The 25,312-nt window shown below is 42.9% G+C and overlaps 1 long non-coding RNA gene and 1 pseudogene across 1 annotated transcript in view; both read left to right on the forward strand.

The window, feature by feature from the left end:
* Window positions 1-7,647, forward strand: part of LINC02107 (long intergenic non-protein coding RNA 2107) — a 158,236-nt gene extending 150,589 nt beyond the window's left edge. Inside the window, exon 3 of the long non-coding RNA NR_147009.1 lies at window positions 7,419-7,647. This is a non-coding gene — a long non-coding RNA (long intergenic non-protein coding RNA 2107). The remainder of the gene's footprint in view (window positions 1-7,418) is intronic.
* On the forward strand, window positions 21,332-21,860 carry PRDX4P2 (peroxiredoxin 4 pseudogene 2; annotated as a pseudogene).

Below are 25,312 nucleotides of genomic sequence, written 5' to 3' on the forward strand. Positions count from 1 at the left end.
CCTTCCCCTGCTCTTTAGAATGGAGGACTCTGTAGAGGCAGATCTTTTATTGACAGAGAACTCACTTCCTTATTAGAAGGCAGGCTGTTCATTCAGGAAAGCCCTTGTTATTAGAATGTTTTTCCTGAAAGCCACTTAAAATCTGCTTCCCTGTGCCTTCTCCTCCTAAGTCCTGGGTCACCCTCTGAGGTCCTCAGAAGCACCCTAACTCCTCTTCCAAGACACAGCTTTTCAGGTATCTGAGGTTCGGTCCCTATCCTACTGCGCAAACCCCAACACACTCAGTTTAAGATTTTTCTCCTTGGCTGAGCGCGGTGACGCATGCCTGTAATCCTAGCACTTTGGGAGGCCACAGCGGGTGGATCACCTGAGATCAGGAATTCGAGACCAGCCTGACCAATACGGTGAAACCCCATCTCTACTAAAAATACAAAAATTAGCTGGGTGTGGGGGCGGGAGCCTATAGATCCAGCTACTCGGGAGGCTGAGACAGGAGAATTGCTTGAACCCAGAAGGCAGAGGTTGCAGTGAGCTGAGATCAAGCCACTGCACTCCAACCTGGGCAACAGAGCGAGACTCTGTCCAAAAAAAAAAAAAAAAAAAAAATTAAAATTAAAAAAAATTAAATAAAAAATGATTTTCTCCTTATTCTTAGTGTTCTTCAATGTTGCTGTGAAATATTGAGGGGTTTTGTTGTCATTCTGTTTTTTTGCTGCTTTTTAATCCTGCTTCTGTACACAGTACGTGCTTTCTTTCCACTCTAAGAATTCATGACCTTCTTCAGTCATGAAGTCTTAAAAACTCTTTTTTAATTTTTATTTAATTTTTTTTTTTGAGACAGAGTCTTGCTCTGTTGCCCAGGCTGGAGTGCAGTGGCACCTTCTTGGCTCACTGCAACCTCTGCCTCCTGGGTTCAAGTGATTCTCATCTCAGCCTCCTGAGTAGCTGGGATTACAGGCGCACACCACCATATTTTTAGTAGAGATGGGGTTTCACCATGTGGGCCAGGCTGGTCTTGAACTGCTGACCTCAGGTGATCCGCCCGCCTCAGCCTCCCAAAATTCTGGGATTACAGGCATGAGCCACCATGCCCAGCCTTTTAAAATTTTTAATTTTATTTTATTTTTATGTTTTAGAGACGGAGTCCTGCTCTGTCGCCCAGGCTGGAGTGCACGGTACACTCATAGGTTACTGCATCTTTGAACTCCTGGGCCCAAGCGATCCTCCAGCCTCTGCTTCCTAAGTAGCTGGGACTATAGGCATGTGCCACCACACCTGGCTCAGTTCTTAAAAATGTTTAGCCATCTCTTCTTCAAGTATCATCAGCCTAACTTTCAGTTTTCTTAACAGCGCTTTTATCTTTCTCTCTTTATTTCTCTGAGCTGTGAAATTCATTAGAACTGTCTTTCAATTCATAATTTCTCTCTTTGATGATGACTAATGTAGTGTTTACCTAATATTGTTTTCTTTAATTCTATGTATGTATTTTAATTCCATGTATGTATTTTAATTCCATACTTCTCTTTAGAAGCTGAACTCTAGTCTGCCTCTCCTGCTCCAAGATTTGGCTTCTTGTTCTGGATTACTTTCCCTTTCTTTGTTTTCTTTCTTTCTTTTTTTCAATTTACCCAAAATAGTACTTCAGAACCTTTCTATTAAATTTCTATTGCACAGAAATCGCCATCTTAATGTACTGCTCTTCCTTTTTTCCCTTTTTTATATTTTAATTAGCATGATTACATTTTCAGAATATAGTTATGTTTTCTCAAAATGGAAGCTTAACTCTGTCTTGACTCTGTCCCTACTGTCCTTGAACTGCCCTCATGTGCCTGATCTCCTGAGCTTTCCTTAGCAGTATTGCTGTCTGTGATACCCAGAACTGAATGCAGAGGACTCTAGCAGGTGTCCTGAAGGCCAGTCTTAGGGACAGAGAGCACTGAGCAAACAGGACTTCTAACAACACATGTTCTTTTATGGAAACATCTATAAGAGGATAAAAGGCAGACACCAAAGAAGTTTCCTTGAAGCAATTAATGGGTGGGCCTAACCTGCGTAGGGGTTGAGGTCGTCTGTAAGGGCTGCAGTAAACAGCCTCTGATAAACAATACTTCTTGATCCAGGTGAGATCAGGCCAAATTCCAGGTAAGAAGCCTCCAAGGGGAAAAGAAATCATCAAAGGCCAGGCTGGGGGCCTTTGTAGAAATAGGAGAGCCATCCATGCTTTGGCATTAGAGATAAGAGTGGTTCAAAAAAGTCAAATGAAACACATCCATATGGACCTCAGGTGCTTCCTGACACCACATTAATCACCTTCCTTGTGTTTACTGTTACTCCATGATGGTCTGACTATAGGTGAGGTTGGCTGGAGAGCAATTGCAGAGAGGAAGTAAACCTCTATTTACAGACTGTAAGAGTTCTCCCTGTTTACAGCAGAGAATGCGCTTGATAGGAAAAAGTAATCATAGGTCATTATGATTATTCTTCGGTTTGTCAAAACATCCCATCTGGTAGAAGAGCATGAAGTGCCAACAATTATTAGCCTTTTTCAAAATTGTGTGTGGAGTTGTCTGCTGAAAACCGTATATGAGTTCTGAATTCCAGGCTTTAGAATCTCAGCTTTATCACCTACTAGCTGTGTGATGGTAGGGTGGTTTCTTAACTTCTCTGAGATTCAACTTTTACTAAATCATACCTATTTTATTTTAAATGAGGATGAAATTAAATATTGCATATAAAGGGCATAGATTAAGCTCAATAAACATTCATATGCCCTCTCCTTTGATCAGGTGTCATTTGACAGAGCTAGGGGTGAGGAAGAAAGGAAGAAGGTGAAAAAAATAGAAGAATTTGTTTAAAAACGGGAGGAATTGTTAAGGACTGTTGCAAAAGGAACTAAAGCCACTTTGGCCATTAGCAGTTGATGGAATCTAGTGATAAATGTCAGTTGCACCCAACAATTAGAGGTGGGTGGAACTGCATATCTTCTTCCCCCACAACCTGGCTACTTGTTGGTAACAAGGAAAGCAAGTCTCAGACCCAATTCTATCTTATTCTACCCCATTCTAACATTGACCAGCAGTCAGGTCCCCAAACAATACAAGCTGATTCTGTAATCTTAGAGTGTCCTACTCTCAGTCATTTAAGGCAATCTGATAAGTCTGGTGCATGAAAAACTTACACTAAGGCATATGCATCAAACATTCTGACAGCAGAGTCAGTGCCCACATCCTTCACCATGCATGAGGTACAAAGAATAAATGAACTCCCAGGCCTGGAGCACCTATCTGAAGGTAGTAGGTTGCTGGGCTCACCAGATTCTTATACTCCTTTCATGCCAGGACAGACGTGTCTTTACAAATTTTCTAGCCAGTCATTTAGAGTGAACACCACTTATTTCACCAACAAAAAAATGTTTTACCATTCTTTATGCTAATTAACCAACTTTCAGATACAGGCTTAGAATTGAGAGAGCTGAAGTATTTTCTATTTCTTCCTCTATGGCATACATTCCTGAATGAAGGTCTTTCAGTGTTCACTAATGTAGATTACAGTTAACTTGCATTCACATATATACATCACACAATCAACACTGAAGTATTTGAAGGGAAATTACAGGCACTATAACAAGACTGGCAGAAGACTGGAAAGGACTATATTATTTTTAAGTGAAAGCTGAAGAAAAATGGGAAATTGCAGTCACTTGTTTAGACAGGAACAGACAGTACTCCCTCAGATCTGAATGATTTCCATCTCATGGCTTGTTTATTATAATCCTGTTTTTTGGCCAGGAAATGACTTAGTTCCCACTCAAATTTGCTCATTCTACCACCATTCCCCTCAGTCTGCAAGAGACAGTTCTGATACAAAAAAATTCCCCAATAGACTTGAAGCTTCAGAGCTAGCGTAAAGACCATGAAATTATATACCTACATCTGCATGTCTTTCAAATTCTAGTTTGCTAAGTACACTTGGATAGCTAACATTCCACCTTAGGTAACACTTTTCTCAGCCTCTACTCTCCCTCTAACTTTCCCCATTAGCTTGGCAGAAAGACCTTGGGCTTCATCTGTAGGTGGATTTTGAATAAAGCATGGGGGTGTTGGGATTGGGAAGCCAGCACGCACTCTGAACCTCTCAGTATAGCCAAAGGTGATGGAGACACTAGTAGATGTAGACGTCACTCTCCCTCCATTGCATAGTCAAACACCTGCATTTAATTATTTTCATTTAGCTGCCGATTATGAAAAACCACACTAGGTTAGGAGCCAAACGCCCGGATTCAAGCTCCAGTTCTGTCATTCACAGCTGGGTGTGTTTGGCTAAATCCCCCAAGGCTTCTCAAGCCCAATTTCCTAATCTGTCAAATGGGGCTAGTGAGTCCACCCTGCCTCACAGGGTAGTCATTGGATTGAATGGCAGATCTGGCAGATTTTGCTTTGTAAATTATAAAGGGATTTATGGGTACAAAGAAACATTTGTATCAATTATGTATATACACTCAATTATTTCTTGCGAACATACTTTTTCAAGTAGATTTTAAGATTCTAGAAAGGAAGACTACAAGCTATGTACTTCGCAGTAACTAACACTGCCATGCACCTACTGGTACTTAATGTATAAGTGAAATAATGAGAATCTTTATTCTGAAAAGAAGGCAGAGACTTGGCTTAATATCATATGGTATGCCTAGGAAAAACATTCAACATCATTATTCACCAAAAAGTTATCGAAGACCTATTGCATTTAAAAGTTCTGTGTAAGGCCTTGAACATAGGATAAGTAAGATGTGCCTCTGCCTTCAGAAAATTAAGTGGAATAAACGACTAAAAGAGGTAAGAGGAAAGTCCATACTAAACACAAAGAAAAGGTTGCCAACTCACCCCATAAAGTGTTGGGGGTGGACATGAGGAGAGGAAGGAAGAGCTTCATACAGAAGGTGACACATGAACTGAGTCTTGAAAGATGAAAGAGTACTAGGTCTAAATGTTTAGCTTTCAACAAAAACTTATAGGTTGAAACCAAATCCCTATGTAATGGTAGGCATTTTGGGATGTGACTGAGTCATGGGGGTAGAGACCCCATGAATGGAATTAATGCACTTATAAAAGAGGCCCGTTTACCCTTCCCCCATGTAAGGATGCAGTGGGAAGTTGCCACCCAGTCTATGAGAAAGTGGATTCTTACCAAACCCTGCAGGCACCTTGATCTTGGACTTCCCAGCCTTCAGAACCTTGAGGAATAAATTTCTGTTATAACAGCAGCCCAAACAGACTTAGACAGAGGGCATTTAACACCAAGGCATCATGTTCTCACTCATAAGTAGGAGCTGAACAGTGTGAACACACGGACACACAGGGAGGGGAACATCACACACCGGGGCCTGTTGGGGGTGGGGGGCTGGGGGAGGGATAGCATTAGGAGAAATACCTAATGTAGATGACGGGTTGATGGGTGCAGCAAACCACCATGGCACGTGTATACCTATGTGACAAACCTCCACGTTCTGCACATGTACCCCAGAACTTAAAGTATAAAAAAAAAAAAAACACTAAGGCATCCAGAGGGCAAGGGCACTCTGTTCAAGAGGAATAATTTGAGCACAAAAGAAACAGAGTGAGGTCAAAGGGTTACCAGTCATTTGTACGGCCAATGAGTAGGGAGCAAGGCAGGGGTGTGGTCTGAAAGAGGTGAAACTAGAAAAGAAAATCTTTTCCCACTCTTAGTTTCTAAGAAAGGAGATTTTTCCTACTCACACTCCTGACTTTCCTGCCCTTTATTTTCTCCATGCTTGAGGAGGTGCAGTGGCTTCTGCCTGGCAAACTGGGAAAGAGTAGACGGGCATGTTCTGCTCAGCCCCATCCTCCTTCTTTCTCTTGGGCCGGGGAACATCTGCCACATGGAAGCCTCTGCTCCTCGGTACCCTAGTCCATATGCCTAGGACAGCAGGTGACTCTGCCTAATTTAGGGAGTCAAGTAACCAGCCCATTTGGCTCTCATTCTAAGTTGTGTTCTCCAATTTAGCCTGGATCTGTAATAAAGTTGATGTTGTGGCCCAGTTGTCACCCTTTGTTTTATTTTGCCATTCATTCAGAGCCCATGTGTATTGGGTGCCCCCCAGGTAGATCAAGGCCGGAATATGGAGAGCTTGGAATGTTCTGCCCAGGAGTCCAGAATCACGTGGCACAAAAAGTCTCTACCATGATGAGCATAAGATGAGATGCCTGCAAAAGGAAATAATACCGGCAGACTTAGTAGAAAGAGCATGGACTTGGGTTTCAGGAGAACCAGGAGCCAGTCCTAGCTCTGCCACTAACCAACTGCATGACTTTGGGCTAGTCACTTAAACTTTCCAGCCTTTTCTCCTCCCCTGTATGGTGAGTTGGGTTATCGAAATCGCTAAGGGCCGTCTCAAATTATATAAACTTTTAAAAAAAGAGGATTTCCTAACAGGAGGAAGTTTTGACACAAGGGTACATTGAACACTGGGACAGATTGTGGAATTTCTTTCCTTAAAGATGTGGAAGAAGCAGCTGGTTTAGGATCCCATGTAGATGAGCAATTTAACATGTGTGTATGTCAGGTACTCTATTATGAGCATATTGCACTATCTCATTTCATCCTCATGCAAACCCATGAAACAGACAATGTTATCATTCAAATTTTACCAAGAAAGAAACTGAGGCTCAGAGGAGTTAAATAACTTGTCCAGAGCCTACAAATAATAAGCGCCACTACTAGGTTTTAAACATGGGCAGTCTGGCACCACAGCAGCACTCACTAGCACTACACTGCACCACCTTGTGCGTAGGGGCAGATCTGGGTCCTCTCCCAAGAGCGCATCGTGATCCATGGTGTCTCTGGAGGGACCCGTTTGCAGCTTCTCAGACACGTGCAAAAGGCAGGTGCTTGGCTAGTGTGAGAAACCAAACTCTTTTGGCTCTCTCTTAGCTCTGTGCCCTACGTTTTGACATTCAGGGGTGAGAAGCATTTGTTTGGCAATTAATAATACAGTGCCTTGTGACATCTCTTGTTTTGATGTCTTTATTGTTTTCCAGTTTCTATGTGCTTATGATTTTTCTCTTTCCTTAATATTGATTGTATATTGATCATATGTCAGGCACCGTTCTACATGCTTTAAGTATGTTATTTCACTTAATACTCACAATAACACTTCAGGGTAGGTACTATTATTATTCCCAATTTACAGCTGAGAAAACTAAGGTACAGAGGGAAAGATACTATTATACTGCCTGTAGGACAATGACATTGACAGCATATACTAGACCTTCAATAAACATTTGCAAATGGATTGATTGAGTCAAGGGTCATATATTTCAAGGATTCCCTTTGCCCAGGTCCTTCCATAGTCTTCTATTTATTCTCTGCTTACCCCAGTTTTTACTATGTTTCCTTTACAGACTGTGTCTAAGATGCCAATTGAAGACTGGAACAGCCATATGAGTGTGGGGTATTCCTGGAAACCTGTTCTAGTAGGCACTGGAGAAGACACAGGAACCTCTCAATACAGAATAGACACACTTTGCACTCAGTAATAATGCACTAATTGACGAATATATTGACGGAGTGTTGGTTTGCTTCACAATCTGCTGGTAAACATATTCATTTTTGGGTGAATTTCAGGCCTTATAGGTAAAATCTGTTTTTGCTTTTTCCATTTTTTTTCAATCCTCTAATTTTTGGCTTTCTTTGCTACTTAGAAGCAGAAGTGGAAGAAACTAAAATCAGCAGAATGAGGGCTGCATGCAGGTAGACACACTTTTCTGAATGTGTGTGTGTGTGTGTGTGTGTGTGTGTGTACATACATACATAGTTCTTAGGTTGGAGAAAAATACCTTTCCCCTCTACCTCTTGGATATTGTATGAACTGTATCTCAATTCCAAAGCCACAATTCCCATTTTTCCTTTGGGATCTGACAAGAATTTCGTCTTCTGCAGTGGGAATGCATCCACTGTGGACATGCCAGTCTACCCTAGCATTACACTTTGTAAACCAACACGATCTGACTGTAGCTGGGACAACAACCTATAGTGACAATAGTGGCAACTTACACTAATTAGGACTAGAGAGATTTTCAAACTGATGTCCATTCATCCTACGCCCAGCACCTCTTGTATCCTGGCATATAAGCACCTCTTCTATTAGCAATTTAACATGTATGTATGAGCTTGTATCAAAGGACACAGGCACCTCTTGTATCCCTTGTGGACAAACTCCTTAGTTTTTAATTTAAAACATTAAGCAAGAATTAACACAATAGGCTTTTTGCCTCTTCATTGCCAATCTTCTTCAGTGAACACTCTGCTCCAAGTTGTAGTTAAAGAAATCTCAAATTCAATCTTGGGCATATTTCCTTTGGCTTCACTTGTGACACGTCTCTAAATAAATATCAGCATTTTGCAACTTTGAAAAATATCAGGAATGCACATTTCTCCATAAAACCCAGGAAATTCTAAGTATTAGAGCATGAGCCATAACTCCATGACCCTTTATGTGGAGGATTAGTGGGCATGGCCTCCCTCCAGCACATGCTTAGGTCTCTCCATATCGGGTGGTACACATGGCCATCTGGATAGAAGCAACATCGGCTTAGCAGCAACTGCTGTGAGAACTCTGAATTTCAACTCTCTGATGGGAGACTCACATTTTTAAACAGTACATTGCCCTGGAAGGTACACTCATGCCACCTGCACTGGCTGGTATGAAGGAAACATGGGTACATTGAATGCACTAAGGAAAGGTGATCCTCGCCCACACAGTCTTGTGGCACAAGTGGGAGCTATGTTAGAAATTTTTCAAGAATGCGGTTCACAGTGGTGAGATCTGGTCAGGCAATCTATGTCTTTCCTGGGATAGAGCGTAAATACAGTCCACCCATGGTAAAAATCAGAGGCAGGCAAAAAATAATGAGGAAGCCATTCACAGAAGAGGAAGCACAAATAGCTACTGAACATAAGACAAAATGAACAATCACAGTGGTTATCAGGGAAATTATAGGGAAAACTGCAATAGGTTACCATTTTATGCCAAAATGTATGAATGGGCATTACATGTCTGATACTACCAAGTGATGGTGTGGATATTGAATAACAGGAGATCTTATGCCCTGCTGGTGGGAGTACACATTGGTTCAATTACTTTAGAGAAAAATTTGGCATTATTTAGTCAAGGTGCAAATGCACATTTGCTATCCTCCTGGTAGTTTTCTATTAGAGCAAATCCCACACAAGCGCTCAGGGAGATATATACATGGATATTTGGAGAAAGATTGTTAAAACAAAACAATGAAAACAACCTGATGTTCATCAACAATGCATACCGAAACTGCGGCACCTTCATATAATTAAGTGTTACAACGGGGGTGGGGGTAAAGCGAGGGGAAATGAACAACTGCTACGTGCATCAACAAGGATGAAGCTCACAAAATGTTAGAAAAAAATCTACTTGTAGACTAATAAATACAATATTTTATTTCTAATATGAAGCTTAAAAGTAAACAAAATATATATTTCTCTTACACATGCACACATATATATAATAAAAAGCATAAATATATGTATGAGAATAAAAAATACAAAATTCAGAACAGTGAGTTCTTCTGGAACAGAGAGCACACTTGGGGAAGGATACACAGAAAGTTATCTACTGCACTGATGACTTCTATTTCTTAAGCTAGGTGGGCATTGATTGTATTCTTCTTTATATCATTTTGTATGTCTTAAATATTTTATAATACATTTTAAAATGTTATTTTGAGGCGTCAAAGAATTTCAGAGCTACAAAGACCTTAGAAATCATCTAGTTCAACAACCTCGTTTTAAACACAATGACAAATAACTAAAATCGGGAAAGAGGAGGTACAACTGATGCCACAGAAACACAAAGGATTATAAAGGCTATTATTAACACTTATATACCAGCAAATTATATAACCTAGAAACAACAGATAAATTCTTAGAAACAGGTTATATAAGGTTAAATTCTTATAACCTACCCAGACTCAATCATGACGAAGTAGAAAATCTGAACAGACCTATAATTAGTAAGGAGATTGAGTCAGTAATCAAAAATCTCCCAACAAAGAAAAGCCCAAAACAAGATGGCTTCATGGGAGAATTCTACCAAACATTCAAAGAAGAATTAACACCAATCCTTGTCAAACTCGTCCAAAATATTGAAGAAGAGGGAACACTTCCAAACTGATGTTATGAGGCCAGCATTACCCTAATACCAAAGCCAGACAAGGATACTACCAGAAAAAAAACTACAGGCCAGTATCTCTGATGGGTATTGATGTAAAAACTCACAAGAAAATACTAGAGAATGGCATACAATAGCACATTTAAAGAATTATACATTTATAATCACGTGGGATTTATCTGTGGGATGCAAGGATAGTTCAACATAAAAAATTCATAAATATAATACACCACATCAAAAGAACAGAGGACAAAAATGGCATGATTATCTCAGTTAATCCAGAAAAAACATTTCACAAAATTTAACAACTTTCATGATAAAAACATTCAACACACTAGTAATAGAAGAAAACTACTTCAACATAATAAAGTCATATATGAAAACCCCACAGCTAACATCATACTCAATGATGGATACATAGAGAACTCCTACAACTCAGTAACAAAAACCAAATAACTCAATTAAAAAAATGATCAAAGGACTTCAGCAGACATTTATCTAAAGAAAATAAACAAATGACCAACAGCATATTCACAGATGCTCAACATCACTAATCATTAGGAAAATGCAAAGCAAAACCAGAGTGAGATATTACCTCACCCCCATTAGGATGGCCACCATAAAAAAAAACAGGAAAACAAATGTTGATGAGGATGTAGAGTAATTGGAACCCTTGTTCCAATTGTAACAGGAGAAGAAACAGGCTTCAGCAGTGCAATCCTGAAGACAAAACACTGTTGGTGGGATTGTAAAATGGTGCAGCATGATGGAAAACAGTATAGAGATTACTTGAAAAATTAAAAATAGAATTGCCATATGATTCAGCAATCCCACTTCTGAGAATTTTTACAAAAGAACTGAAAACAGGATCTCGAAGAGACATTTGCACACCCATATTCATTGTAGCATTCTTCATAATTGCCAAGATGTGGAAGCAACCTAAAAGCCATCGGTAGAATGAATAGATAAAGAAAATGTGGCATATACACAAAATGGAATATCATTCAGCTTTTAAAAAGAAGGAAGTCCTAGTACATGCTACAACAAGGTTCATACCTTAAAGACATTAGGTTAAATGAAATAAGCCAATCACAAAAAAAGACAAATATTGCCTGATTCCACTTCTGTAAAGTGTCTAAAGTAATCAAACTCATAGAAACAGAAAGTCAAATGGTGGTTGCCAGAGGCTGGGGACACAGGGAACCAGGAGCTATTCAATGGGTATAGGGTTTCAGTCATGCCGAATGAACTTTCTAGAGCTCTGTTTGTTATACAACAATGTGCATGGCATATAGTTAACAATACTGTACACTAGAAAATGGTTAAGAGGGTAAGCTTATGTGTTTTCTGGCTGCAATTTAGACAAAAAACACGATGAAAGCAAGGGCCAGAGTGACGGGATGACATGCCCACCATCAGGAAGTTGGCCAAATCCAGATCATTGGCATTTTTCCTGCCTCTTGTCACCTCCTCTTGTCCTGATTTCTGTTTTATTTGTAACAGCATTTCAGAAATGTGAGATGGGCTTTAGAGATGATTGCTCTAGAAGAGAATCAATTCTTTGTTGAACCGTGATGTCTCCACTTTAAATGTTTACCTGTATCTTTGTGGTTTGCTCCTTACACTTCAACTGGCTTTTAAATTGAGTTTGTGGTTGTATTGTAAATAATTATACATTAATATTGCACTCGGCTTTTGCTGCCTTTCAAGCACAGAGCTCAAGGTCCTTCTGAGGCAGTTAAAATTCAGGATTTGCTTACCAGATGAAATGGAAGCTACATTATGGGGAGAAAAATTTGAGACCTAGAAAGGGTAAAGAACTTATCTAACATTACAATGCCATTTTTGTTTGGAGGGGAACAAGTTTCAAGTTTAAATCATTTAAAGCTTCTCCACCCTCCCCTCAGGTCACAGGACAATGATTTGCTTCACACTTTAGCTGTAGAAAGTAAAATGTAGGAAATAGAGAAGTTTTAATACCAGTGGGCCCACATTTTGCCCTTGGAAATGCCCTCCTCCCCACCAGCCTGTGTTCTACTCTGACCACATTTCCCTGGCTCTGACACCTTTCTGCATATTTTCATAACTTTGGGGTAACTGAGACTTTGAGATGAGTGGGAGCATGGGAAACAGTCCCCAGAGGAGGAATTTCTGCTTGTTGAAAATGAGAAGCGCCCGCAAATGGAACTTAACAGCAAAAGGTGTCCTGAGTCATCATTCAGTCCTCGCTGTGGCAGTCATAATTCATGATATCCTGAGCCCTTCATAGGTTCCTGAGAATAACGATGGCTGCCTCCTTAGGCACCCATTTGCCAGGCACGGGGCACAGCTGGGCAGACAGCCCCCCTCTGGGAATTGAAGCTGGGCACCTGGTCAGCTGGCCTGGTTCTGCTCAGGTTCTTGGCTGAGAAAACAGAGACTGCCAGTTCTTTATACCATCTTCCCTGATTATTTGCTTTTTTTTCCGTGAACATGTCTAAGGAGGGTTCCAGAAAATATGTAACTCTGCAACACATAGAGAGGGCAGACAGCTAGCACAGGGGGGTCTGGGCTGGAGGCTTCTCCAAGGCCCTGCTGCCTAGCCACAGACAAGTGGCCTGAGCCCCCGGAGCCCTGGGCCTCTGAGGGTTGTCCGCTGGGTGCCTGTTGAGCCCCTGGATCTGTGTGTTTGGGGCTCCCTACTGGCCGGGGACTCTCGCCTTGCATTCCTTGCCTTGATCCGCCTCTGGGCCTCCCGTCTGACCTCCGGGGCCTGGGTGTTGGCCCGGATTTATGACCCTGAGCTTCTTTTTATCTCTTCGGGAAGTAAACGTTTTGGTTGGAAAGTTTTTCAATTTCCTCCTGGCCTGGACCAAACCGCTCATATTTCCAAGGGCAAGATTCCCCTCTCCTCACAGGTTCTTGTGCCCTGAAGTGTAATTAGGAGCCTCACTCCACCTGCAGACAGGCTCCTGCAAATGCTTTGATGGTGGTGACCACGACAAAGACAGCAGGCTGCTCTATGCTTACCCAAACCTCACATTTGCGGAGTAGAGTTATTGGTTTTTTTTGTTTGTTTGTTTTTAGCAGCTGTAGACACAAGCCACTCCCCTGCAGACCTCCTCCTCTGATTCCCAAAGGAAAAGACCTTTCCAAAATGTATATGAGAGGCAGGGGCACAAGTTCTTGAAGCTGGATGACCGTTGATTGCCTTCCCCTAAGTGTGCCCTACAAGACAATTACAAACTCTCTTGAGCCACAGTCTCTCAGGAGAGGGCTAGAAACCAATACTTTTACCGAGTGTCCCAGGTCCTTCTGCTGCACCCGAAAGCTTTAGAACTGCTGCTGTAGAAACTGTGCAGCAGATGGAATGGGGCAAAGCGAATCTTAGTCCTCTTGCTTTTAATCCCCTTGAAACCCTAAGCATTGTTCTCAAGAAAAGAACATGAACCCAGGACAGTTCAGCCATGTCGCATATTGGGCCTCTCACCAATAACAGTGCTCCATGGTTTTATTTATTTTTTTGCCGAAAGTTTCCATCCAATTACACACGCATCTTTTTTTCTCCTCCACAGTGTCCCATCCTTCCAACTCCCATACTCACCCTCCCAAGCAGTTTCCCTCTTAGCCTGGTCCCCAACACGATGTCATTTGAAAGTCAGGGCATCCCTTTTATACCGTCGTGAATATCTTCCAATCTGATGGGTCCTTTTATCCTGAAACGCTTCACCCGCTTTCCACCCCAGCATAACTTCACCCACCACTGAAGTACCGCCAGCCGGCTCAGGAGGGTGAGCGGCAGCTGTTGCCCTGTTTAGGGCAGGAAGTGAAGAAGAACATGATATTCAATTAAAACTGCAGGGGGAATTCAGCGAGACAGCAGGGTCTAATGGAGACTGATGGCCTGGGAGACCAGCCGGTCTGAGTTCCATTCCCATCTCTGCCACCGGCTCACAGGGGTGACCTTGGGTCTGTCACTAAAACTTTCTGGGCCTTCGTTTCATCTGAAAAATGGTAGTGATGATACCTGCATCCTCACAGGAATAGTTACGAGGATTAGGGAGATTAGAAAAATACACAGGGCTCTTTTGATCCCTTTAAAGTCAGCAGTGAAGGATGGATGGATGCAGAAAGCGGTCTTAGGCTAAGTAGAATTGGCTGCCAACAACAGGATGTGATTTGAGGTGTAATCAAAAGTCGGCCGGTGCTGAGATAGCTCCCCTAGCAGCCTGTGAGCTGCTCTGAAATCCCACTGCTGGACTAGAGAGCCAGGCTAAAACACAAGTGTGACAAGTCGCAGCAATAACATACCATCAGCCTTTGCATGAGTTAGCTGGAGTAGGTTGCTGGTTTCCCAGGAGAAAAAAAAAATGGGCCCTGAGTGATTGAGGCCCTAGAACAGGTAACTATGACTGACGGAGAGTTTAGATAGAAAGAATGCAGGAGCTCAGAGTCAGGGGAACTGTGGTTAGGGACTTTGTGGGGAGCAGAGTGGTGTGAGGAGAGTGCCAGAGCCATGGAGAATGTTAATTACAGAAGCTGATTTTCAAAGTACTACAATAGGCCTGGCGCAGTGGCTCACACCTGTAATCCTAGCACTTTGGGAGGCTGAGGCAGGCAGATCACTTGAGGCCAGGAGTTCAAGGCCAGCCTGACCAACATGGCAAAACCCTGTCTCTACTAAAAATACAAAAATTAGCTGGGCGTGGTGGCATGCACCTGTGATCCCAGCTACTCAGGAGGCTGAGGCAGGAGAATAGCTTGAACCTGGGAGGCACAGGTCACAGTGAGCCGAGATTGTGCCATTGCATTCCAGCCTTGGTGACAGAGCAAGACCCTGTCTAAAAAAAAAAAAAAAAAAACAAAACACTACAATAAATGTTAGATCATTCGTCCCAGTAAGAGCCTTCCCTAGGCAATGTCTGATGTCTAACTTTCATGTAAGACACTGTAGACATCACTTCTTACTAACCTTTGCTCTTTATAAAACTGGCGATCCTACATTATGTGTTCATGACACCAAGAAAAAGCATTGCCCTCGTGAAAGTGCTATGATGATGATGATTGCAGCTGTGCGGGCCAGTATTATCATTTCAATTTCAGTCGGTACCCATTTGTTGAGTGTCATCACACTAGGGAGGATGGTGGGGGAGGAACAGCATGGGATTTGGCGTCCTGGGGCTTGGGTTGGATTCCCAGCTCTGTCACTTTGTTCTGGAACCTTGGATACTTAAGCTTTCAGGGATCCAGTTTCAGCTGGTAAATTGGGATAACAGACCTACCTCACATGCTTTCCAGAGGATCAGATGAGGTGATGCAGTGTGAAAAAGCCATGCTGGATGTGACAGAGGGCTACACAAAGGTGAGCTGCTGTCTAAATCAGGACAGGCTGGGGTCTGCTGCTGTAACAAACAAACAGTAACCTGACATTTCAATGGCTGCATGTCAGCCACAAGTCAGCCTAGGGGGCACTCTGCTCATCAGAGTCACACAGGGACACAGGCTCCTGGAGGAGCCCTTAGCTGCCTGCTCAGGAAAAAAATATGGTAGAGTCTGCATTGGCTCTGAAAGCTTCTGCTTACCTTTCATTAGCCACAGAAAGTCACATGGCCACATCGACTTCCAGTGAGCAGGGAAGTGCCATCCTATCATGTGTCAGAAGGAGATAGAGTTGGAATATTTATTCACAGCCTATGACCCGAACAGTTGCTACTCTACAAGGCTGGATAAGATGTGGTCCTTGTCCTCAAGACGCTTACCAGAGCTCACCTCAAGATCCCTACCCAGGGGTTTTGGAAACATCTCCAGGAAAGTGTACCCTCTTCTTTCTGCCATGGATCCCTGCCCCTGCCTGCCCACCACACGGCCAGGGCCTCATCACTTCTAGCTACCACATGAATGGCTTTGCTAAAAGCAGCTAGAACACCCACATGCTTCCCTGGCCTCTGCCACTCTTGTTGTAAAATAACCTCCAAGGCCTCTTTTTCGGAGCTTGTGCCTTCCCTTTGTCCTTCACCCAGATGTTGAGGAGAGGTGCCCAGGTGGCCAGGTTCGTGACGATCCCCCAGGCTGCAGCTAATTGCACCATGCTTGAATGCAGCTGGGAGGAACAGCTCTTTGCTTGCCTGGAGCCCTTCTTGTACCAGATGTCTGCGGACCTTCCCACCGCCCAAGCTCAGGTCTTACTGCCTTTAGGGAAAGAATGAAACAGGAAAGCTTAGCTCATTTGGTGTCTCTCACCCCAGGTTAGAACCATCTTTCTGTTCTTCTGCTGGAGCAGAGACATCTCTGTAGCTCCCTTCTCCATCACCCAGAGATTCCTGGGGTGGCCTGAGACTCACCAAAGCCTTTTTCTTCCTTCCTCTTGAGTGGTGTCCCTTCTCCTTGGACACTTTAGTTGGAGTCCTGAGAGAGAGAATGAAAGAGTTTAATGCAATACTATTAGTAATAACAATAAATATAATAGGTTACCATGTGCTAGGCTCTGTTCTGAGTGCCTTGCATATATTAACTGATTAAATGTTCACAAGAAGCCTATGAAGTAGGTATTATTAATAGTCCCACTTTAGAAATGAGGAAGAAACGCGCTCAGAGAGGTTATGTAGGTTGTTGAAGGTCACACAGCTAATACGTGGCAGAGCTGCGATTTAACCAAGACCGTGTGACTACAAAGCTCATACAGATCTGTTTTTATCATGGCAATTAGGTCTACAGTGGTTGAGAGAGATGGTTGAGGTTACAGATGGCAAGGGCGCCTTTATTCCTGGTGCTGGCAAAATGGCCTTCCCGGTGTATTAGGAGGTCGTGCCTGCCCTCTGCTGGTCGTGAATGAGCATTGCCACTCAGAGGATGTGGACGAGAACCCGCCGGCAAAGCACTTCACAGGTATTTCAAAGAGAGTAAACAGGCAAATAAACTTGCAGCTTACATGCAGCAGCGGCATATTGACTATTTCTTTCCCTCTGGTTTGGTGTGTTTTACATTTGTTTTTTTCTCCTGGAAAAAAAAAAAAGAGGAATAAAAAGCAAACAGGCAGCTCTCCACCTCTGAGAACAAGCAGAAGAAAACCACAATTATGCAACTATCAAATAACAAGTCTATGTGTTTATTGTCTCATGGAGATTGTAATGTAGTACTAGATGCCCAAAATGTCATCCTAAACAGATGTAAAGGCACATTTTTGGTCGTTCATAACTAAGTTAGGGTAAAATAGTTTCCTAAGTTAATCAGGGTATTCTTCCACTATCGAACGTTGCATGCAAAAAGATTCTTCATTTAAAAAAGTTCAGCTGTTTTGAATTATCTATGTTCAAATAGAAATTTTGTGTCCCTTTCTGATTTGCTGTAGAAAGACAAAGGTGGCCATCTCTGACTAGGCTGCAGTGCAAGTCAGCCGGAGACATAGCACATAGCACATTACAGGGACCCAAGATTTTTGGGCTTATAGTAGTGACTACTCTTAAGGGGACAATCTGGCTTCTTCGAAGGCCCCCAGCCAAGAGGACCCCTTCAGACAAGTCAGTCCTGCCCACTAAATCTTTATGGGGAGGGGAGTAGAAGGGAGAGGAAACACTGCCACGAAAATCTAATCCTGAAAACTGTCCCTGGGGATTAACCAGCTGAAGCCAAGTATTAGTTCTCACACTGCTATAAAGAACACCTGAGATTGGGTAATTTATAAAGGAAAGAGGTTTAATTGACTCAGAGTTCCACATGGTTGGGAAGGCCTCAGGAAACTTACAATCATGGCAGGAGGTGAAGGGGAAGCAAGTCACATCTTACTTGGCGGCAGGAGAGGGAGACAGAGAGAGGAAATTTACAATCATGGCTGGAGGTGAAGGGGAAGCAAGGCACGTCTTACCTGGTGGCAGGATAGGGCAAGAGAGCAAATAGGGAAGTGCTACTTTTAAACAAATCTCATGAGAACTCACTCATGATCACAAGAACACCGTGGAGGAAACCTCCCCCATGATCCAATCACCTCCTACTGGGTCCCTCCTTGGATTACAATTTGAGATGAGATTTGGGTGGGGACACAGAGCCAAACCATATCAAGCCCCTTGTAACAGGTACGTGACCTGAGGAGTCATGGCCTCTAAAGGTTGGATCTTCAGCTCCCAGACAGAGAATTGTCAGCATTCGTAGTTCTTAACTTGGATATTTAAAGTTTCCCTCTCTGAGAAGTTTGAGCAAGTTACAGGACATAGGTCACACCCACAGCAAAACTTTCATTGATCAGGGCTCTTGTGTGTATTTTTCACCCCCTGCCAACACACTCTACTTAAGTAAATGTGAAAACCTCAAGAAAACTGCTGATCAGAAGATTCAGTAAAGCGGACCTACTTTCAGGACATACCTTAGGATCTGTGCATATTCAGATATCCTGCATACCATGCTTGGACCAGGTACATTTATATCACGACCTTGGCTAACTTTTTCTCATCTATGCTCACTGCTTCAAATAATCGCCTCAACATGGGGCACTTGCAAGTCTGCTTCCTTACTGCTGCCTCTGTCCTGGGATCTGGATTGGCGTTTCCAACTGCCTGATGGGTAGCTCCATCTAGATGTCCCCCCAGGACCCGCAAGCAGCATGTCCAGATCTGACCCAAGCATCCCATCCCTGAAAGTCCCCTTGAATGCTTTATTTCTTTTAACGTCATCACAATTCTCCTTGGGATTCCAGCTCAAAGCCCCAAACTCCTCCACTTTGCCTCATGCTCTGTCCCACCAAATGGACCTGGCCAGCTGCGATTCTCTCCTACCTCTGTGCCTTCTTGACCTCCCCCTGTCCTGACTCCCTCCTGGCATGATGTCCTGGACAAGGGGGAGTTTCAGAGCCAGACATGGGTTCAAATCCCAGCTCCATTATTTATTGCATATCTGAATGTGGACTTTTTCCCTTAATTTATTCGAGCCTCATCTGTAAAATTGAAACAAATATGTACCTCGTAAAAGTAATTGTGAGATCAATCAGATAATATAGATTAAATGCCTGGTATAGGGTGAATGTTAAATATATGTTATTTTTCTACCCTCTCATTCAGGCTTCATTATTTCTCACGGGGGCTAACTTTGAGTAGCCTCCTAATTCATCCTTGCCTCTTTGCTCTCCATCACAAGCACTGATTGCATATCCACTACTTGCCAGGCACTGGGCTAGTCACCAGGAAGAGAAACATTAAACAAGTCCACAAGGCCCTGCCCCTGTGAGGCTTACAATTCAATGGAGAAAGTAACATTCTCTCCTTCCTGTGATTTATTGTCACTCTTGTACCTGATGGATCTTGCTTAAGCACAGATTACATGTCATTTTTCTACTCAAGACTGTTAGTGGCAGCCCATTTCCCATCTCATGAGATATCTTTCTTTGGCTGGCATTTAAGCCCTTCTGAATTAATAAAGTTCTCATTTGCTTTTGTAGCCCAATTTCCTTCCACTGCCCCTATGTATATCCTCCTTTCTGTCCAAGTAGAATTACTTGTCAATCCCAGTATAATGGACATTTGTCTTTTTAAAAACTACCGATCCTTGTGGGACATCTTTTCTGTTTCAGAGAAATCTCCATGAGTGAGTCTTGGTGAAAGGCAGAAACTCACAGTCCTTCTCTTTACTCGGTGGATACCAGCATGTAAGCAAATAAACCGGGCTCAGCCAGTCAAAAACTCTACTCAAGATTCTGAGTTTTGGGAAAGTGACACAGTATCAGAAGACACACGCAGAGTATTTAACTCGAGAGACTTCAGTGAAGAGAATATTTACAGAGGTATAGTCAGGGTTAGAAAAACAAACAAAAGATGGTGAAGTTCCTCTGTCCCAGGACTAGCAATGCCCTTGGGGTTCACTTATAAAGATGAATGTTGATAAATGCTTATGTACTGAAACAAAACAGAAAATTGTGGTACTTTTCTCATTTTATCTGCAACAATCTAGGGAGTCACATAAGAATGTGTTCTCAGGCCGGGTGCAGTGGCTCATGCCTGTAATCCCAGCACTTTGGAAGGCCGAGGCAGGCAGATCACTTCAGGCCGGGAGTCAAGACCAGCCTGGCTAAAATGATGAAACCTTGTCTCTACTAAAAATATAAAAACTACCCAGGTGTGGTGGCGCACCCCTGCAATCCCAGTTACTTCAGAAGCTGAGGCACGAGAATCGCTTGAGCCTGAGAGGTGGAGGCTGCAGTGAACTGAGATCTCGTCGCCACTGCACTCCAGCCTGGGCAACAGAGTAAGACTCTGTCTCAAAAAAAAAAGAATGTTTTCCCAGGTTGCCTGGCCAAAGAGGGAAGGGCATGATTTTAGCCTGGACCGGACTTACCAGTACAGGTGCACCTACCAGTGACTTTAGTTCCAGCATTTGAAAGTGATCTCAGTTGTTGGCTTGGTGAATAGATTGAAGCCACTAAGTGATATTATGAGATCAATTTCTTAACATTAAGTAGAAAAAGAAGTCAAAAAATCTTGAGAGATGGGAATGCTGGAGTGAATGTAGCCTGTTTGACCAGGACCTATCCCTCTGAGTTTCTGGAGAGGACCCAAAAAGGCCTTTGCTAAGGCCTTTGGCAATAACACTGGAGAGGAGACCTGCCATCTTTGAACAGTGCTTTCGTGGCTGTTTGGGGTAGGCTGGGTATGCTAGCAGAAGGTGCTACAGTTGAAACAGGTTCTCTGTTTCCAGTGGGGTTGGGGAGCTGGTTGGGAAGTGATGGGGGCAGAGGAGAAGCACTTATCCAGCAGAGACAATGGGGGTGTATTTACTGTGGTAGGCAGCAGAGTTGACTCGGTAATGCGAATAATTTAGCTATCAAGGATCTTTGGCAGAAGCTAAGCGATCCTGAAGGTCCATGGGTATATGAGTAATTCATCAAGTTCCTACTGGATTTGCATAGCTAAAAAGAACTCTCAGGGTGAGAGGCTGTGGATTTGCCAAAATTTGTGTAGTATAAACTCATGGCCAAGAAAGAAGAACACTAAAGCAGCCACCACCCTCTCAATCTCTGACCTCCATGAGGAAATGAGAGGCTTGAGGACTGTGGATAGCAGTGCCACTTTCACATGGGCAGATGATTAAACACTGAGAGGCATCAGTTCATACTTGACCCTACCTGCACTTCAGCAAAACCAAAATTCAAATTACTGAGGAGGAGCAGCTGTGATCAATGGAGAACTTAAAGTGCTCAATTTAAATGGGTAATGTGGAAAATGTCTATTTTTTCCTTGATTTTACATGTATGTGTCCAACTAAAATAATCAATTTTAGTGACAAAATTGAGAACTTAGACCACTAAACACTGAAGTGATCCATGCCTTGCTGATTCACAGTTTACCCATTTAGTATGAAGTCCCACCCCTCGCAAACAAAGAGGACTGGAGCCCGGGGAAAATTTCATTTCTTTCAGATTTTATCCATCAGATCTTAAAGTGCTATGGTGATGTATCTGGAGAACTCAGGCCACAGTCTTAGAGGTTTCTTCACTATTGATGAAAAAGGAATCCAAAGGTAGTTTAGAATGGATGACCCTCCTGTTAGCAGAGTAGTAAATAAAATACTGTATTGGAGTCAAGTGTCCCCGTACACTGACCAGTATGGAAAAGTCTGTCCTGTTGGAAACCTGGTGGTAAAACAAAAATCTCCTACTTTAAAGTATTTTGATAAACTAAACTGAAGAACTAAATGGGAAACTTCACTTTCAGGCCCTGATGCCTAATTTGAAAATTATCAGTAACTTCATCCCATGAGATATTAAATAAACACATAACTTCCAGATTATGTGACCATGTGTCTGATGGAAGCTAAGCCACTATGGCAGAAAGTGACGACAGATAGGGCCCTGGGCAGTACATAAAGAAGTTGGAACACCAAGGTAGGACTGCCATAATACCTCAAGGACAAGAATCGGTCCTTCCTCCTAGTTTTCCAAAGATAACTGAAGACCACTTACCATGGTAACTGAGTACCAGGGAAAGATTATTTTGACATTGACTCTAAACTAACAAATTGTTAGAGATTGGAGAAGGGGCTTATGGAGACCATGAGATTAGTGACGTTTTGCCCAAATCCACTTCAAATATGGCTTCATGAGATCCCCATCATACCTGGTTGTTTCACCAGTCCCTAGGCATATAGTTAAAATCAATATTTAACAGTTAGAAGAATCCTCACTTGTGAAGAAAGATATTTCATGGCAGGAAGGACCCAAAGAAAATGGCTGGAGGGCTCTACCAAAATATTAAAAAAAAAAAAAAAAAGAAAGAAAGCAAACGTTTCTGGGAAGTGGGGGAAGGAGGAATGTACCCATGCAGATTAGTGCTAATTGGAAGGTGCAGGCCAGGCGCGGTGGCTCACGCCTGTAATCCCAGCACTTTGGGAGTCCGAGGCAGGCGCTTCACGAGGGCAGGAGATCGAGACCATCCTGGCTGACACAGTGAAACCCCGTCTCTACTAAAAATAAAAAAATTAGCTGGGCATGGTGGCGGGCGCCTGTAGTCCCAGCTACTCGGGAGGCTGAGGCAGGAGAATGGCGAAAACCCAGGAGGCGGAGCTTACAGTGAGCTGAGATGGCACTGCTGCACTCCAGCCTGGGCGACAGAGTGAGACTCCGTCTCAAAAAAAAAAAAAAAGAAAGAAAAGAAAAAGAAAAGGAAGGTGCAGGGATGGTGACCCTTCAAAATAAGGATAGTAATATTGTTTATCTCGTAGAGCTATCGTGATGATTAAATGAGTTAATACATGCACGATGAAAATGATAATCACAAAACAAATGCTAGCTACTCCTTTTGCAATTATTATACTTGTAACTCCTATTTAACCCTGCATAGGGATATGCAGAAGACAAATGACCTTCAAGCATTATTATAGGTTATTTTAAGCATAATTAGGTGTGGTAAGATTCAGGACCTAGAGAGTAGAGGAATAATCCTCCTCCCCAAATACAAGGTCTTTTTACTTCAATTTGCTTGGGAAATTCAATGGGCTAGGGCATGTCAATATATCTCCTCCTGGGTGAAGGCACATCCCTGTACCCGACACCTCCTACCAAGAGGCAAAAAGCTAGGCACGCCTCTTTGGATTTTGAGTGGGGTGTGAGTTATATTTGCATTGTGCTGCTCTGAATCACTTTTAGCTAATTTAACTTAGTGTAAGATACCCAAACAAGAGACAGTTCTCCATCTGATCTAGCAGTACCACTCAACTTTCTGATTCAGGAGTCCAGTGGATCTTGAAGTATTTGCAGCAGTTTGAGTTTCTGTGAGGAGCCTATTGCAACCCCCAACAGGAGATCACAGCAAAGGCCCTGAGAGTCTTTGAGCAAAGCTATTCTATTTCAATCAACAACTATTTTCTTTTGAGGACTTGCTACGGAGCCTTAGTAGAAAGTGAACCCCTGACGACAAAACATCAAGTGGCCATGTAACCTGGTTGCTTATCGTGAACTAACTGTGTTATTTGATCCAACTAATCATAAAGTCAGTTGTGCCCAGCAGTGTGGGCACGAAACGTCAGGTGGCCATGTAACGTGGCTGCCTATCATCAACTGTTATTTGATCCAACTAACCACAAAGTCAGATGTACCCATCAGTGTTCCACCATCAAATGCAAGTGGTAGATATGGGACTAGGCCTGAGCAGCTTCTGAAGGCACAAGGAATTTGCAGAAGTGGGCAGCTCACACTGCCAGCTTGCTGGAATCTACATGACCCTCAGCTCACACCTCTGATGTCATGGGGAGTTTGCTAAGAACAGGCCACCACAGAAACATGAATCATTGGTTTAGAGCTGGTGCACATGATGTGCAGGTCCTGGTTATATAGAGATTGTTGTGGCTTTAAAACCCCACTTGGTGTGGCCCTGAAGGACAATAGGGAAGGAAAATCTTTCTGGGAGCAAAACTTAAGGCTGTACATAACCATGTCATTCATTTTGCCTGGAAGAAGAGAGAGCTTGAATTATGACAAACCAATTCACAAGCAGCAGTTAATAATTTGTCCAGATTGAGACTTGACATGTTGTTGGTAGGTTGGTAACAATGAGGTTGGGTATGTGTCTCCTGAATTGGGCCTGGAATGTGAGAGTACTTGTCTCCCGTGATGATGGTCACAAAAGGACTTCATGCCAAGGTGGGTCCTTCCCCCACCACCTCAATGCTTGTTTAATCAGTTCCTGAACTTGTAACTATGGCAACAGGCATGGAGGCTATGTAGGGACTCCCTGAAGGGATCAACCCTCTGTCTGTCCAGGTAGATTACACCAAGCCCTTTCTAAGATGGAGGAGCTAGTGATTGTCTTCACTGGAATATAAGATTTTCTGAATTTGCATTTGCTCCTCTTGATAGATTCTGAACAAACTTGCATCTACCAGTGTCACCATCAATGGGCATACTGAGTAACTCATGATCTTCCACATCATAATGCTTTTGACCAAAAGGAGCTTACTTCTCAGTGGAGAAAGTAAAGTAATGGCAGAGGCTCAAGGGACTCTCTAGTTGTGGTAGATTGGGTGGCTCCCCACCAATTTTAGTGTCCCTCTTTGCCTGAGGATTACACATGCACGCCCTGTTAAGCCCATGGAAGGCCATGTGACTTGCTTTGGCCAATAAAATGTAAGTGTGAGTGGAAGTAATGTGTGTCACTTTCAAGCAGCAGCTCTTGAGCCAGCATATGGTTTCCTGTCATGAGACCAACAATGCTCCAGAAAGAGGCTGCTCCATCCACCTGTGTCCCAGAGTAAAGATGTCATGAAGCAGAGGTGAACAGTCCCATGCACAGTGAATGAGAAAGAAACATCCATTGTTTATCACTGCAGCATGACTTGTCTATGCAGACTACTCATGCTCTCCTCTTTTTCTCTTTCTTTATTTTTCTCATTTCTTTCTTTCTCTTTCTTCTTTTTTCTTCTTCCTCTCTCTTTCTCTTTCTTTCTTTCCTTCCTTCCTTCCTTCCTTCCTTCCTTCCTTCTCCTTAATTTCTCTTTCTTTCCCTTGTTTCTCATTTCTACTAGCAGGTATCAGTAGACTCTATGTGCTGGTCTTTGGCAGATACAGCATGGAGCCTTCTTCCTGGTCCCAGCACTAGCCACACCATGCCCCGCCTGGCAAACTAGTGCTGTCATCCAATG

The sequence above is a fragment of the Homo sapiens genome, chromosome 5, assembly GCF_000001405.40.
Source record: "Homo sapiens chromosome 5, GRCh38.p14 Primary Assembly".
NCBI classification, from domain to species: domain Eukaryota; kingdom Metazoa; phylum Chordata; class Mammalia; order Primates; family Hominidae; genus Homo; species Homo sapiens.